We start from the raw sequence: 17,087 nt of genomic DNA, 5'->3' as shown, positions 1-17,087 counted from the left end.
CGAAGGTTTCAGTGAACCGAGATCAGACCACTGCACTCCAGCCTGGGCAACAAGAGCAAAACTCCGTCTCAAAAAAAAAAGAAAGAAAGCATGGTGTATATGCACAACAGAATACTGCCATAACAAATTAAAAAATTCTGTCATTCACAGCAACCTGAATGAACTTGGAGGACGTTAGGTTAAGTGAAATAATCCAGACAGAGAAAGATAAATACTGTGTGTTCTTCCTCATACGTGGAAGCTACAAAGTTGATCTCTTAGAGATAGAAAGTAGAATAGTGGTTACTAGAGGCAGAGATGAGTTGGTGGGGAGGGGAAGATAGGCAAAAGTTGGTTGACAGAAGTAAAAATACAACTAGGTAGGAGGAATAATTCCTGGTGTTCTATAACACTACAGGGAGACTATAATTAACAACGATTTATTGTATATTTTCAAATAGCTAGAAAAGCAGATTTTGAATGCTCCCAAAACAAAGAAATGATAGATATTTGAGGTGACGGATATGCTAATTACCTGGATTTGGTCATTATACATTGTACACATGTATCTAAATATCACACTGTACCTCATAAATATGTACAATTACTATGTGTCCATTTAAAATAATAATAAAAGCAAAGAAAACCCAAAATAAAAAAAGATGATTGTTAAAAGTAATAACAGAGTATGAGGTTTACAGCATATGTGGAAGTAAAATGTGAGACAACAATAGGAGAAAGCATTGGTTTGTTTGGAGGGGAGGCTAAGGGGTTCAGCATTGCCCGGGATCTCTACCTGTGACTGAATAGTATGCTAAACTCAGTAGAAATATTATAACACCTGTCTGGCCCAGAGGCCAAGCCAATTTTCCAATTTGGTAGTTATAAAACCAAGCCATTGTTTTTTTTTTTTCTTAAGGAAAACAAAAACAGCCAGGCACAGTGGTCCACACCTATAATCCCAGTGCTTTGGGAGGCCAAGGTGGGAGGAGTGCTTGAGGGCAGGAGTTGGAGACTCACTTTGTGCCAATGTTGCATCGAACAGCTGAATTGCCTAACATTTTTCATTGATTTGATGAATTGTTTGGATATTGTACAGATACAGGATTTAAAATAAATTCTTTCTTTAAAAATTGAGTGGTCAGGTGCAGTGGCTCACACCCAAAATCCCAGGGCTTTGTGAGGCCAAGGCAGGAGGATAACATGAGGCCAGGAGTTTGAGACTGCAGTGAACTGTGATCGCACCACTGTACTCCAGCCTAGGTGACAGAGCAAGATCCTGTCTCTAAAAAAGAAAGAAGAGAGGAGGGAACCGAGGCCCTCAGTCTGGTGATGTTGGTATTGGCTGGGCTGAAGACAGTCCAGAACTCCAGGGCGCTAGCCTTTCAGCCACAAAAAATCCTGTCTCACCCAAGGACCAGAACCCACCGAAAAGATCCGCATTCCCCACGGGTAATTTCGTGCTCCCAAAATGGGATACAAAGTGGTCATATTTGACATTTCTGTTGTCAGAGCCTTGTGGGAAACTTGTGTCAAGAAGCACAAGTTTGGCAGAAGAAGGAGGCAGAAAGTCTTGAGAAGAGTGCATCAGAAAAGACAAAGGAGGAGTGGCCCCTTGAGGTCAAGTGCAGGAGGAAAGGCATCTCCTGGGCTGAGTACTGGCTGGGATAGTGGCTTCATAGACATTCATAGCATGCAGCTTCTGGAAAAGATAGAAAGGAAAGCTCTCACAAGGCAGAGTTCACTTCCCAAGGACAGAGGCAAATGGAGCAGTGTGTTTGTGTTTGGACTTTCTGGGGAGTACTGGACGGAGCTGCCAGATTTGTTAAAGGAGCAGACGCACCTGAGAGAATGGCATGTATGCGACACCCTGATTCAAATTACTCCCACATATATTGAGCTGTTTCAAGCGATGAGAATTCAGGATCTGCCAAAGAAACAAATCTCACATTTTCCAGCTAAACTCAGTTGTTTGAAGAACCTGAAATAACTCAATGTGAGTTTCAACTATCTGAAGAGCATTCCTCCAGAGCTGGGAGATTGTGAAATCTAGAGGGACTGGATTGTTCTGGAAATCTGGAATTCACAGAGCTGCCTTTTGAATTAAGTAATTGGAAGCCAGTTGCATTCGTAGATATCTCAGCAAACAAGTTTTCCAGTGTCCCAGTCTGTGTCCTGAGGATGTCTATTTGCAGTGGTTGGATATCAGCAACAATAACCTGACTGCCTTGCGGCAAGATACAGGCTGGAAGAGCCGCAGGGCTTTCTCTTGTATAGAAGCAAGTTGACCTACCTTCCTTACCCCATGCTTAACCTGAAGAAGCGCACCTTGTTAGTCGTCAATGGGGACCACTTGGTGGAGCTTTCAGCTGCTCTTTGTGACTCCTCCACACCTTTAAAATTTGTAAGCCTTATAAACAATCCCCTCCTTTTTTTTGACAGAGTCTTGCTCTGTCACCCAGGCTTGAGTGCAGTGGCACGATCTCAGCTCACTGCAACCTCCACCTCCTGAGTTCAAGCGATTCCTCCACCTCAGCCTCCTGAGTAGTTGGGACCAGAGCTGTGCACCACCACACCTGGCTAATTTTTGTATTTTTAGTAGAGATGGGGTTTTGCCATGTTGGCCAGGCTAGTCTCGAACTCCTGGGCTCAAGTTTTCCGCCCGCCTTGGCCTCCCAAAGTGTTAGAAATATAGGCATGAGCCTTGATAAAGAATTTATGAGGCTGGGTGCGGTGGCTCATGCCCGTAATCCCAGCACTTTGGGAAGCCAAGGTAGGTGGATCGGTTGAGGTCAGGAGTTTGAGACCAGCTTGGCCAACATGGTGAGACCCTGTCTCTACTAAAAATACAAAAATTAGTGGGGTGTGGTGGCACGTGCCTGTAATGCCAGCTACTCTGGAGGCTGAGGCAGGAGAATCACTTGAACCCAGAAGGCAAAGGTTGTAGGGAGCCAAGATTGTGCCACCACACTCCAGTCCGGGTGACAGAGTGAGGTTCTGTCTCAAAAAAACAAGAATGTATGAAAGCCTATATTGAAGATCTTAAGGAAAGAGAATCTGTCCCAAGCTATACCACCAAAGGGTCTTTTAGCCTTCAACTTTGATATCATCCATCAGAAGACAGCAAAGTCTCACTATTCTGTGGAGCTTTAAGTTTTTGTGTTATGGGTCATGTCATGTAGGAAGAATGGCTTGTGCTTAAGGACAAAGTCTAGAAACCACTATCATAGTTGTTAAGAAAAGTGATTTTCAAATGTCAAATATATGAATACCTCCCTCCAAAAAATTTTTTAAAAAGAGTAAAAATAAATGAGGCTACATTATTTGGCCTTAAAAGATATCAAGCCTAGAAATTGTAAAAACTTCTTAGGCTTTTATGATAAAATACTGAGAGAGGAACTAATTATGGTCTGGAGTTTCATTGGCTGTTAAAACCTATGGAATGTTGCCTGGCTCCTAGTGCTTTTGTGTTGTATTCTAATGTATGATTTTGCTTTTGAAACTGTTGGGAAGGTTGGAGGTCAATTGAATTGTTTATTCAAAGTTGTAAATGCAAATAGTTTTCTCACCGCTAGAATTAGGAATCTTTGAATGAAAGTGAGGATTTCCTTAAAAGTTAGCAGAAAAAGTTGGCTTTTATTTGGAGACATGTTAGGTTAATTACAGTCTTAATTTGATGGAGTACAATGGAGGTCTTTTTAATGAACATGCAGAAGCTGGAAATATTATACTCTATAACCTGTTATCGACCTACCAAATAGGTGAAGAAAAGTTCTAGGTAGAAAATTAAGATTAATATCAATTACATTTCTTTGTGAGGCATGTTTTTATCTTAGCTATTTGGACTCTAGCACTTCATCTGGAATATGTAATTGCATACTTGATAACTGCGGTCAGTGGATAGCTCCCGTGCTAATTTGTAAGATTATTGCATTAATGAGCTCTTGCTAGTTTATGTGGCAATAAGAAACACCCCCAAATCTCAGTGGTTTATGACAACAAAGGTTTATTTCTCCCTCTTGGTACATGTCAGCTGCAGCTTAGCTCAATGGGTATTCATTTCAGAATCCAGGTTGACGGAGTAACACAGATGAAAGACATTCGTTACTGTGACAGAGAGAAAAGAGTACAATGGCTAAGCCATGCAATGTCTCTTTAATTCCTGTTTAGATGGTAAACATGGCTTATGCCTCACATTTCATTGGCTGAAGGAAATCACATGGGTTAACCTAACCTTAATAGAGTGGGGAAGTCTGCACCTGTAGGAAGGCACTGCAAGTCACATGGAAATATGTAGGATATAAAATTCTCTTATGGGAAGTGTGGGGAATAATCGAGAACAAAAATGCAGTCTTCCACAGTTATTAAAAGAAATATGTCAAATGAAGAAATAATTCAACAGACTGTTCTGGTCTCAGCATTCAAATAAGACCAACCTGGTGGTCTATGTAATATCCTTTCAGGTTTTATCACCACACTTTCAATTTCAGAATCATGCATCTTATAGTGAAATACAAACCCTTGCTACTCAGTGCTAAGGTGTTTTTTAGGTGGAAAGATAGGGGAGAAAAACCTCCTTAACAGGACCAACCACTAGTTCTGCCAAAGAAATGACCATTCTCTCTAACAGCAATGCCCAAAGCATTTCTTCCCACATATGGCTCACATGTTCTTTTTAAATGTATAGCAGTCACCACCCTTCACAGTCCTTATTACTATTTGTAACTTTGTCCCTTAAAATGTATCCTCTACTCAAAATCTTTTCTCAGGAAGCACTGTCACTGATGTTTTTCCAGTATTCTATTGAGATGCCACATTGAAGCAGAATGTCAGTGTATATCCTTATAGCAATTCTTCTGGCGGTAATCATCCTGCACCCCCACCTTAGCTTATCAGAGCTAACTGTTACCCTGATGCCACACATATCCACATCTCATGTCTTGGGCAGGGAACTGTTTTTTGTTTGGTTGGTTGTCTTTTTTTTTTTTTTGAGACAGAGTTTTGCTCTGTTGCCCAGGCTGCAGTGTTGTGGTGTGTTCTCGGCTCACTGCAGCCTCTGCATCCCGGGTTTGAGTGATTCTCTTGCCTCAGCCTCCCCAGTAGCTGGGACTACAGGTGTGCACCCCCACACCTAGCTAATTTTTTTTTTTGTATTTTTAGTAGAGATGGGGTTTCACCACGTTGGCCAGGCTGGTCTCGAACTCCTGACCTCAAGTGATCCACCCACCTCAGCCTCCCAAAGTGCTGGGATTACAGGCTTGAGCCACTGTGGCCGGCTGTTTGGTTGTTGTTGTTGTTGTTTTGAGATGGAGTCTCGCTCTGTTGCCCAGGCTGGAGTGCAATGGTGCGATCTCAGTTCACTGCAACCTCTGCCTCCCAAGTTCAAGTGATTCTCCTGCCTCACCCTCCTGAGGAGCTGGGATTACAGGTGCACACCACCACGCCTGGCTAATTTTTGTGTTTTTAGTTAGAGATGGGATTTCACCATGTTGGCCAGGCTGGTCTCGAACTCCTGACCTCAAGTGATCCACCTGCCTTGGCCTCCCAAAGTGTTGGGATTACAGGCGTGAGCTGCCACACTCGGCCTGTTTGGTTTTCTTTTGAGACAGGGTCTTGCTCTGTTGCTCAGGCTGGAGGGCAGTGGCGCCATCGTGGCTCACTACAGCTGCAACCTCCCAGGCTCAGGCAATCCTCCCACCTCAACCTCCTGAGTGGCTGGGACTACAGGCGCACACCACCACACCTGGCTAATTTTCAATTTTTTTGTAGAGATGGAGTCTTCCTGTGTTTCCCAGGCTGGTCCCAAACGCCTAGGCTCAAGCAATCCTCCCACCACAGCCTCCCAAAGATTATAGGCATGAGCCATTGTGCCCAGCTGGAACTGTTTTTGATGAGCTCAGCTACCACACAGATTTTTTGTTTGTTTGTTTTTTGAGACTGAGTCTCGCTCCGTTGCCCAGGCTGGTGTGCAGTGACACTGTCTTGGCTCACTGCAACCTCTGCCTCCCAGGTTCAAGCAATTCTCCTGCCTGAGCCTCCCTAGTAACTGGGATTGCAGGTGCCCACCACCACGCCTGGCTAATTTTTGTATTTTTAGTAGAAACGGGATTTCACCATGTTGGCCAGGCTGGTCTCGAACTCCTGACCTCAAGTGATCCGCCCACCTCGGCCTCCCAAAGTACTGGCATTACAGGTGTGAGCCATTGTGCCCGGCCACCACACAGATTGTCTAAGTCTTCATTTGTGCTTCAAGAATTTTGGTATGATATCAGATTTTATATGTTTTTGAAAGAGATTGAGCCCCACTGTAGTTTTAAATACCTTAATTTTCATCTGTTGCTTGATGCCACCCTGTTTTTCAGTTTCCATTGTGATATGATGAACTTTCTGATACTGTTGCTTAATTTTGCTTTTTAGTGCATATGGGAGAATCACTCCCTAAACTCTCACTTTATCTTTAGAGAGAAAAGTGTCAATCAGTATTATTGGGTGAGATGAGTCATCAAAGAGATTCTGGGTAATAGGTAGACCTGATACAGTAGGTAAAGGTGAGATTGTTCTTTGGGCTTAAGAACTTGCCTGTGATCTTTCCCAGGCACATGAGTGAAGAGTTTGAGGTTTCTGAGAGATAAAAATGAGCAACTGAGTGGATGATCCAACAGAGAGGCATAAACTTTGAACTTGAAGGGTCATAAATTCTTCTGCTTGCCCTGGTGGGATGCTGACATAAGATGGAACACTCACTGTGGAAACTTGGATGAATGACATTGCTGAGGAAGCAAATGTTCCTTAAAAGCCTTCACAATACACCAGCAAAAGGGCTTCAGAAACCCGAAAAGGGATGGAGAAAGATGGTCAGATGACAAAAGTACAGCCCATCTTCATCAGTGTGAAAGGACTGACTAGCCAGTCAATACAGGATTCCTCCAAGGAATTTTTAAAAATCACTTTATGGAGGTATGATTGAGACACAAAAACTGTATGTATTAAATGTATATAATGATTAATTTGGAAATATGTATACGCTCCTGAAACCATCATCACAATCCAGGCCATAAACATACATATCTATCACCTCCAAAAGTTTTCTTCCTCTCCCGTTATTTATTTATTATTATTTTTTGTGCTAAGAACAGTTAACATAAGACCTACACTCCTAGAAAATATATAAGTGTACGTTACAGTACTGTTAACTATAGGCGCTATGCTGTGTAGTAGGTCTCCAGAACTTATCCATGTTGTGTAACTGAAAATTTGTACCCTTTGACCAACAACTTCACATTTCCCCTTCTACCAGTTTCTGTAAACCACCATGCTGCTTTCTGCTCCTATGAGTGTTACTATCCAAGATTCCTCATATAAGTGGGATCAGGCAGTTACTCATTTTTCCATGTCTGGCTTACTTCACTTAGCATAATATCCCCCAGGTTCATCCATATTATTGCAAGTGGCAGAGTTTCTTTATTTTTTAAGGCTAAATAATATCCTATTTTATGCATATACCATACTTTCTTTATCCATTTATCCACTGATGGATATTTAGGTTACTTCCATATATATATTTTGGATATGTGGCAATATATACATATTTGCAGATTTTTTTGACATGCTGATTTCAGCTCCTCTACAAATATATACTCAGAAATGGGATTGTTGGATCATATGGTAGTTCTCTTTTTAATTTTTTGAGGAGTTTCCATACTGTCTTCCATAGTGGCTGTACCAATTTACATTCCCACTAACAATGTATTGGGGTTTTCTTTTCTCTCTATTTCACCAACACTTTTGTTTTTTTGTTTTGTTTTGTTTATATATAATGGTCATTCTAATGTGTGTGAGTAATAGCTCCTTGTGGTTTTGATTTGCACTTCCCTGATGGTTACTTATGTTAAGCGCCTTTCATATACATGTTGGCCATTTGTATGTCTTCTTTGGAGAAATAGCTATTCAGATCTTTTGCCTATTTTAAAGATGGATTGTTTTTAGTTTTTGTTTTTGCTGTTAAGTTGTAGGTGTTCCTTATATATTTTAAATATTAACCCCTTATCAGATATATGGTTTGCAAATACATTTTTTCTTTTTGTAGGTTGCCTTGTCATTTTGTTGATTGTTTCCTTTGTTGTGAAAAAGCTTTTTAGTTTGGTGTAATTCCACTTGTCTGTTTTGGCTTTTGTTGCCTGTGCTTTCGGTGTCATATCCAAGAAAACATTGCCAAGAACAATGTCAAAAAGCTTTTTTCCCTATGCTTTCTTCTAGAAGTGTTATTGTTTCAGATGCCCACTCTCACCATAGTGGGAGAGTACTGGAATAGTACTATTAATAGAAGAGTTAGGGTTAAGGTTACTAGTACTAAAAGGCCGAGTCACAGCAATTAGGCAAGAAAAAGAAAAAGAAATAAAAGGCATCCAACTTGCAAATGAAGAAGTAAAACAAGTTCTGTTTGCAGATGACATGATCTTATATATAGTAGACACTAAAGACCTAAAGACCGCAAAAAAATCTGTTAAAACTAATAAATGAATTTGGGAAAGTTACAAGATGCAAAATCAACATGCAAAAATCAGTTGCATTTCTATACACTAACAATGAACTATTCATAAAGGAAATTAAGAGAATAATCCCATTTACAATAGCATCAAAAGAATAAAATACTTGGAAATAAACTTAGCTAAGGAGATGAAATCTTGTACACCAAAACCTATAAAATATTGATGAAAGAAATTAAAGAAAACACAAATAAATGAAAAGATATCTTGTGTTTAGAGACTGGAAGAATTAATGTTATTAAAATGTCAATGCTAGTCAAAGCAATCTATAAATTAATTGAAATCCCTATCAAAATCCCAATGGCAGCTGGGCATGGTGGCTTACAACTGTAATCCCAGCACTTTGGCAGGCCAAGGCGGGTGGATCACCTGAGGTCAGGAGTTCGGGACCAGCCTGGCCAACAGGGTGAAACCCCATCTCTACTAAAAATACAAAAATTAGCCAGGCGTGGTGGCACATGCCTGTAATGATAGCTACTCGGGAGGCTGAGAAAGAAGAATCGTTTGAACCTGGGAGGTGAAGGTTGCAGTGAGCCAAGATCATCCCACGGCACTCCAGCTGGGCAACAGAGTGAAAATCCATCTCAGAAAAAAAAAAAAAAAATCCCAATGGCTTTTTTTTACAAAAATAGGAAAAACAATCCTAAAATTCATATGGAACCACAAAAGACTCTGAATAACCAAGCAGTCTTGGGTGAGAAAAACAAAGCCAGAGGCCTCACATTTTCTGATTTCAAAATATATTACAAAACTACAGTAATCAAAACAGTATGGTACTGGCCTAAAGCCAGACATAGACCAATGGAACAGAATAGAGTCAAGAAATAAACTCATACATAAAAAGTCAATCAACTTTATATGTATGAACTTATTTCATTCATACAAACTTTATAAATTTACATGTATTTCATAGATATAAATTTTTTCTGTTCAACTTTATATGTACGATTTTTGACAAGAGTGCCAAGGATACACAATGAGGAAAGGATAGTCTCTTCAATACATGGTATTGAGAAAACTGGATGTCCATGTGCAAAATTATGAAGTTGGATCGTTATCAAATGCCATATACAAAAATCAACTCAAACAAGAAATTTTTAAACCAGAGAAGGAATTCTCTCCCTTCCATTACTAGGGGTTAGCAAAAGGCGGCACTCAAGAGACAAGGTGGCTGGTGAAACTGGCTAGGGCCTTGGGCCTACACCCTGTGATAAGAACCAGCAGGTAATTTCTGGAAGAGACAGAAAATTCTGTCGGTTCTAGTATTGGTACCTGGCCAGATCTTGCTCTGGCTAGCTGTCTGAGCAGTTTCACCAAGTGTCTAACTAAGACTGGGCAGGAGCAAAGCATGGAAGAAGGGCTGTGTTAGTCAAAGCCAACCTGGGTTGAAAGCTAGTCTTTTTGATAAGGAATTTGTGTTTTGTAAACATTTTTTTTTGAGACAGAATCTCACTTTGTGGCCCAGGCCAGGCTGGAGTGCAGTGGTGGGATCTCAGCTCACTATAACCTCTGCCTCCTGGGCTCAAATGATTATCTTGTCTCAGCCTCCCAAGTAGCTGGGATTACAGGCACACACCACCACACCCGGCTTTGTGTGTGTGTGTGTGTGTGTGTGTGTGTGTGTGTGTGTGTGTGTTTAGTAGAGACAGGGTTTCTCCATGTTGGCCATGCTGGCCTCGAACTGCTGGCCTCAAGTGGTCGGGCTACCTCAGCTTCCCAAAGTGCTGGGATTACAGGTATGAGCCACCACTCCTGGCCTCTGTTCTCTTTTTTTAAATTATTATTATTATACTTTAAGTTCTAGGGTACATGTGCACAACATGCAGGTTTGTTACATATATATACATGTGCCATGTTGGTGTGCTACACCCATTAACTCATCATTTACATTAGGTATTTCTCCCAATGCTATCCCTCACCCCTCCCACAACCCCACGACAGGCACCAATGTGTGATGTTCCCCTTCCTATGTCCAAGAGTTCTCATTGTTCAATTCCCACCTATGAGTGAGAACATGTGGTGTTTGGTTTTTTGTCCTTGCGATAGTTTGCTGAGAATGATGGTTTCCAGCTTCATTCATGTCCCTACAAAGGACATGAACTCATTCTTTTTCATGGCTACATAGTATTCCACGGTGTATATGTGCCACATTTTCTTAATCCAGTCTATCATTGATGGACATTTGGGTTGGTTCCAAGTCTTTGCTATTGTGAATAGTGCCACAATAAACATACATGTGCATGTGTCTTTATAGTAGCATAATTTATAATCCTTTGGGTATATACCCAGTAATGGGATGGCTAGGTCAAATGGTATTTCTAGTTCTAGATCCTTGAGGAATTGCCACACTGTCTTCCACAATGGTTGAACTAGTTTACAGTCCCACCAACAGTGTAAAAGTGTTCCTATTTCTCCACATCCTCTCTAGCACCTGTCGTTTCCTGACTTTTTAAAGATTACCATTCTAACTGGTGTGAGATGGTATCTCATCGTGGTTTTGATTTGCATTTCTCTGATAGCCAGTGATGATGAGCATTTTTTCATATGTCTGTTGGCTGTATAAATGTCTTCTTCTGAGAAGTGTCTGTTCATATCCTTCACCCACTTTTTGATGGGGTTGTTTGTTTTTTCTTGTAAATTTGTTTGAGTTCTTTGTAGATTCTGGATATTAGCCCTTTGTCAGATGAATAGATTGCAAAAAATTTTTTCCCATTCTGTAGGTTGCCTGTTCACTCTGATGGTAGTTTCTTTTGCTGTGCAGAAGCTCTTTAGTTTAATTAGATCTCATTTGTCAATTTTGACTGTTGTTGTCATTGCTTTTGGTGTTTTAGACATGAAGTTCTTGCCCATGCCTATGCCTTAAATGGTATTGCTTAGGTTTTCTTCTAGGGTTTTTGTGGCTTTAGGTCTAACACTTAAGTCTTTAATCCATCTTGAATTAATTTTTGTATAAGGTATAAGGAAGGGATCCACTTTCAGCTTTCTACATATGGCTAGCCAGTTTTCCCAGCACCATTTATTAAATAGGGAATCCTTTCCCCATTTCTTGTTTTTGTCAGGTTTGTCAAAGATCAGATGGTTATAGATGTGTGGTATTATTTCTGAGGGCTCTGTTCTGTTCCATTGATCTATATCTCTGTTTTGGTACCAGTACCATGCTGTTTTGGTTACTGTAGCCTTGTAGTATAGTTTGAAGTCAGGTAGTGTGATGCCTCCAGCTTTGTTCTTTTGGCTTAGGATTGTCTTGGCAATGGGGGCTCTTTTTTTGTTTCATGTGAACTTTAAAGTAGTTTTTTCCACTTCTGTGAAGAAAGTCATTGGTAGCTTGATGGAGATGGCATTGAATCTATAAATTACCTTGGGCAGTATGGCCATTTTCATGATATTGATTCTTCCTATCCATGAGCATGGAATGTTCTTCCATTTGTTTGTGTCCTCTTTTATTTCCTTGAGCAGTGGTTTGCAGTTCTCCTTGAAGAGGTCCTTCACATCCCTTGTAAGTTGGATTCCTAGCTATTTTATTCTCTTTGAAGCAGTTGTGAATGGGAGTTCACTCATGATTTGGCTCTCTGTCTGTTATTGGTGTATAAGCATGCTTGTGATTTTTGCACATTGATTTTGTATCCTGAGACTTTGCTGAAGTTGCTTATCAGCTTAAGGAGATTTTGGGCTGAGACGATGGGGTTTTCTAAATACACAGTCATGTCATCTGCAAACAGGGACAATTTGACTTCCTCTTTTCCTCATTGAATACCCTTTATTTCTTTCTCCTGCCTCATTGCCCTGGCCAGAACTTCCAACACTATGTTGAATAGAAGTGGTGAGAGAGGGCATCCCTGTCTTGTGCCAGTTTTCAAAGGGAATGCTTCCAGTTTTTGCCCATTCAGGATGATATTGGCTGTGGGTTTGTCATAAATAGCTCTTATTATTTTGAGATATGTCCCATCAATACCTAATTTGTTGAGAGTTTTTAGCATGAAGGGTTGTTGAATTTTGGTGAAGGCCTTTTCTGCATCTATTGAGATAATCATGTGGTTTTTTCTTTGGTTCTGTTTATATGCTGGATTATGTTTATTGATTTGCGTATGTTGAACCAGCCTTGCATCCCAGGGATGAAGCCCACTTGATCATGGTGGATAAGCTTTTTGATGTGCTGCTGGATTCGGTTTGCCAGTATTTTATTGAGGACTTTTCCTTCCATGTTCATCAGGGATAGTGGTCTAAAATTCTCTTTTTTTGTTGTGTCTCTGCCAGGCTTTGGTATCAGGATGATGCTGGCCTTACAAAATGAGTCAGGGTAGATTCCCTCTTTTTCTATTGATTGGAATAGTTTCAGAAGGAATGGTACCAGTTCCTCCTTGTACCTCTGGTAGAATTCAGCTGTGAGTCCGTCTGGTCCTGGACTTTTTTTGGTTGGTAGGCTATTAATTATTGCCTCAATTTCAGAGCTTGTTATTGGCCTATTCAGTGATTCAACTTCCTGGTTTAGTCTTGGGAGGGTGTGTGTGTCCAGGAATTTATCCATTTCTTCTAGATTTTCTAGTTTATTTGCATAGAGGTGTTTATAGTATTCTCTGATGGTAGTTTTGATTTCTGTGGGATTGGTGGTGATATCCCCTTTATCATTTTTTATTGCGTCTATTTGATTCTTCTCTCTTTTCTTCTTTATTAGTCTTGCTAGCAGTCTATCAATTTTGTTGATCTTTTCAGAAAACCAGCTCCTGGATTCATTGATTTTTTGAAGGGTTTTTTGTGTCTCTATCTCCTTTAGTTCTTCTCTGATCTTAGTTATTTCTTGCCTTCTGCTAGCCTTTGAATGTGTTTGCTCTTGCTTCTCTAGTTCTTTTAATTGTGATGTTAGGGTGTCAATTTTAGATCTTTCCTGCTTTCTCTTGTGGGCATTTAGTGCTATAAATTTCCCTCTACACACTGCTTTAAATGTGTCCCAGAGATTCTGGTATGTTGTGTCTTTTTTCTCTTTGGTTTCAAAGAACATCTTTATTTCTGCCTTCATTTCGTTATGTACCCAGTAGTCATTCAGGAGCAGGTTGTTCAGTTTCCATGTCGTTGAGTGGTTTTGAGTGAGTTCTTAATCCTGAGTTCTAGTTTGAGTGCACTGTGGTCTGAGAGACAGTTTGTTACAATTTCTGTTCTTTTACATTTGCTGAGGAGAGCTTTACTTCCAACTATGTGGTCAATTTTGGAATAGGTGTGATGTGGTGCTGAGAAGAATGTATATTCTGTTGATTTGGGGTGGAGAGTTCTGTAGCTGTCTATTAGGTCCACTTGGTGCAGAGCTGAGTTCAATTCCTGGATATCCTTTTTAACTTTCTGTCTCGTTGATCTGTCTAATATTGACAGTGGGGTGTTAAAGTCTCCCATTATTATTGTGTGGGAGTCTAAGTCTCTTTGTAGGTCTCTAAGGACTTGCTTTATGAATCTGGGTGCTTCTGTATTGGGTGCATATATATTTAGGATGGTTAGCTCTTCTTGTTGAATTGATCCCCTTACCATTATGTAATGGCCTTCTTTGTCTCTTTTGATCTTTGTTGGTTTAAAGTCTGTTTTATCAGAGACTAGGATTGCAACCCCTGCCTTTTTTTGTTTTCCATTTGCTTGGTAGATCTTCCTCCATCCCTTTATTTTGAGCCTATGTGCGTCTCTGCACATGAGATGGGTCTCCTGAATACAGCACACTGATGGGTCTTGACTCTTTATCCAATTTGCCAGTCTCTGTCTTTTAATTGGAGCTTGTAGCCTATTTACATTTAAGGTTAATATTGTTATGTGTGAATTTGATCATGTCATTATGTTGTAAGCTAGTTATTTTGCTCGTTAGTTGATGCAGTTTCTTCCTAGCATCAATAGTCTTTACAATTTGGCATAATCTGTTCTTAAAACTCTTAAAAGAGCCAGGGAAATCTCCTGCCCCTTTCTCCAGGGAGAAGGAGTTGATACTTTAGCCAGACTTGGAGAAACTTACTAGATCACAATATTTTGTGGGCAGGTGTCACTGTAATTAAATACATGAAATTTTTTATTTTCCTTGCTTTTGTACCATGATAGGACCTTCTGCTCCAAGTAGACGTTTTGCTTTTTTGGGGTACTTTCTCTTCACTTGTGCAGCAGAAGGCATAAATGAGCTCAGGTCTGCCTCCTTGGGGAAGGCTGGGTCATCTTTCTCTCTAGCCTTTTTCATTAGATACTTTAGTTTCTGGATTAAGTACTCTTGCTTGGTCCAGGTAAAATTACTTATATGTTTAAGTAGTTTAAAATGTCTTTCTTAGGTGGACGCAGTGGCTCATGCCTGTAATCCTAGCACTTTGGGAGGCTGAAGCAGATGAATCACCTGAGCTCAGGAATTCAAGACCAGCCTGGGAAACATGGCAAAACCCCATCTAAACCAAAAATACAAAACATTAACCAGGTGTGGTGATGTGCACCTGTGGCCCCAAATACTCAAGAGGCTGAGGTGGGAGGATTGCTTAAGCCTGGGAGATGGAGGTTGCAGTGAGCCGAGATCATGTCACTGCACTCCAGCCTGGGTGACAGAATGAGACCCCCATTAAAAAAAAAATTCTTGTGCCCTGGAAATTTCTATGAACTAGGATACACCAACCTGAACCTGTTCCCAATCTGACTTCATTCTATTGTTTGGGGAGAATTAATTCACTCTCACATAGGCAACATCAAAGAATAAAAGGCAATGTTTTCAGAGCTAACAAATCTTTCCAGTGGTGGCCAGATTCCAGGTCTACAGATGGTAGGCTTTCATATGGTATAATGTTTGCTCAGACTCATGATGGGATAAACAATATATCAGGTAGTGGATCTATAATAAACATATTAGATAATCCTTGCTCTGCAGGTGTTTTACATATAGAATTCTTTTATGTGTAAAACTGGGGAGAAAACAGCTGTTCCACAGTCCTTCCTATTCCAGCAGGCCTTTTCTTTTAAAGGATAATGAGTATATATTGCTCCCTGCACGTTCTCTATTTCTGCTGTCACAAAGATAATATCCAGGAGGCATTTGATTCCAGAAGATCCATTTGAAGATTGGTGAATACTACAAATTAATTTGGATGAATTTCTGGAAGTTGCACCCAACTATCCTGTCTCCTTTGAAGTGCCACACAGGACTCCAATTTGTCTGCTGCTGGCCTTCTGCAGCCTATTTTGTGGTAGATGAAAGGCTCAGCATCACGTAAATCACTTTACTGTTCAGACCCTCCCCATACATTGCTCCCTTAAGGAGCAAATCTGCATTGGTGGTAAGGTGACACTTAAGTCATAATGGTGAAAAAAAGGGTGGTAAAGTTAAGAGTATAATATGAGACCCACTTTCAAGCCTTCAGACTTGGCGGTGGACTATAGTAACGGAGGCTGCCATAGTGAGGAGCTGTTAGGATCATTGGAGGTATCTCCACCAGGAATCTGTCACCTTGTGCCAAGAGCCAGGAGCCCAGATGGTAGCCCTAGAATTCAGCTGCTCACCAGAAGTTGTTCTGCTAATTTGATGGCCTTGTCTGTTGGGAGCAGGAAGAAAGGAATGTAGCCCTGAATTGAGAGCATTCCTGGGAACTTCAAAGGAGGACTGTGAACTGAGAGTATTCACCACTTTCTGATTCTTTACATCTGATTTATCACATAATTAGGAATTCTCAAAAAAGTTATTAATATTCTTACTTCAAATAAAAGTTCAAGGTACAAGCTTTTGTGTGAAGATATGTTTTAATTCTCTTAGGTATATACCTAAAAGTGAAATTGCTGGCTTATATGGTAGTTCTGTTTAACTGTTTGAAATTGCCAGTGTTTTTCAAAGTAGTTGTATTATTTTACTTTGCCACCATCAATGTATGAAAGATCCAATTTCTTCACATCCTTGTCAGCACTTGTTATTGTCCATCTTTTTTATTATAGCCATCCTTGTAGTTGTGAAGTGGTGTCTCCTTGTGATTTTGATTTGAGGTTCCCTAACGATTAATGTTAAACACCATTTATGTGCTTTTTGGCCTTTTGTATATTTTCTTTGGAGAAATGTTTATTGATTCCTCTGTCCATTTAAAAATTGGGCTGTCGGCCGGGTGTGGTGGCTCATGACTGTAATCCTAACACTTTGGGAGGCCAAGATGGGCAGATCACCTGAGGTCGGGAGTTCAAGACCAGCCTGACCAACATGGAGATACCCCATCTCTACTAAGAATACAAAATTAGCTGGGCGTGGTGGTGCAAGCCTGTAATTCTAGCTACTCGGGAGCCTGAGGCAGGAGAATCGCTTGAACCTGGGAGGTGGAGGTTGCAGTGAGCCAAGATCACGCCGTTGCACTCCAGCCTGGGCAACAAGAGAGTGAAATTCCATCTCAAGAAAAAAAAAAAATTGGGTTGTCTTTTATTACTGAGCCATGAGAGTTCTTTATATATTCTAGATCCTAGACCTTTATCACGTATATGGTTTGTAAATACTTTCTTCTATTTTTTTGGTTTGTCTTTTCACTTTCTTGATGATGTCCTTTGAAACACAATTGTTTTTAATTTTGTTAAGGTCCAATTTATCTACTT

General features: G+C 40.4%; 1 pseudogene; it reads left to right on the top strand.

The window, feature by feature from the left end:
• LRRC2P1 (LRRC2 pseudogene 1) lies at positions 1,424–2,403 on the top strand (annotated as a pseudogene).

The sequence above is a fragment of the Homo sapiens genome, chromosome 2 (genome assembly GCF_000001405.40).
Source record: "Homo sapiens chromosome 2, GRCh38.p14 Primary Assembly".
Classification (NCBI taxonomy): Eukaryota; Metazoa; Chordata; class Mammalia; order Primates; family Hominidae; genus Homo; species Homo sapiens.
This window is presented reverse-complemented; position numbering and strand designations above follow the sequence as displayed.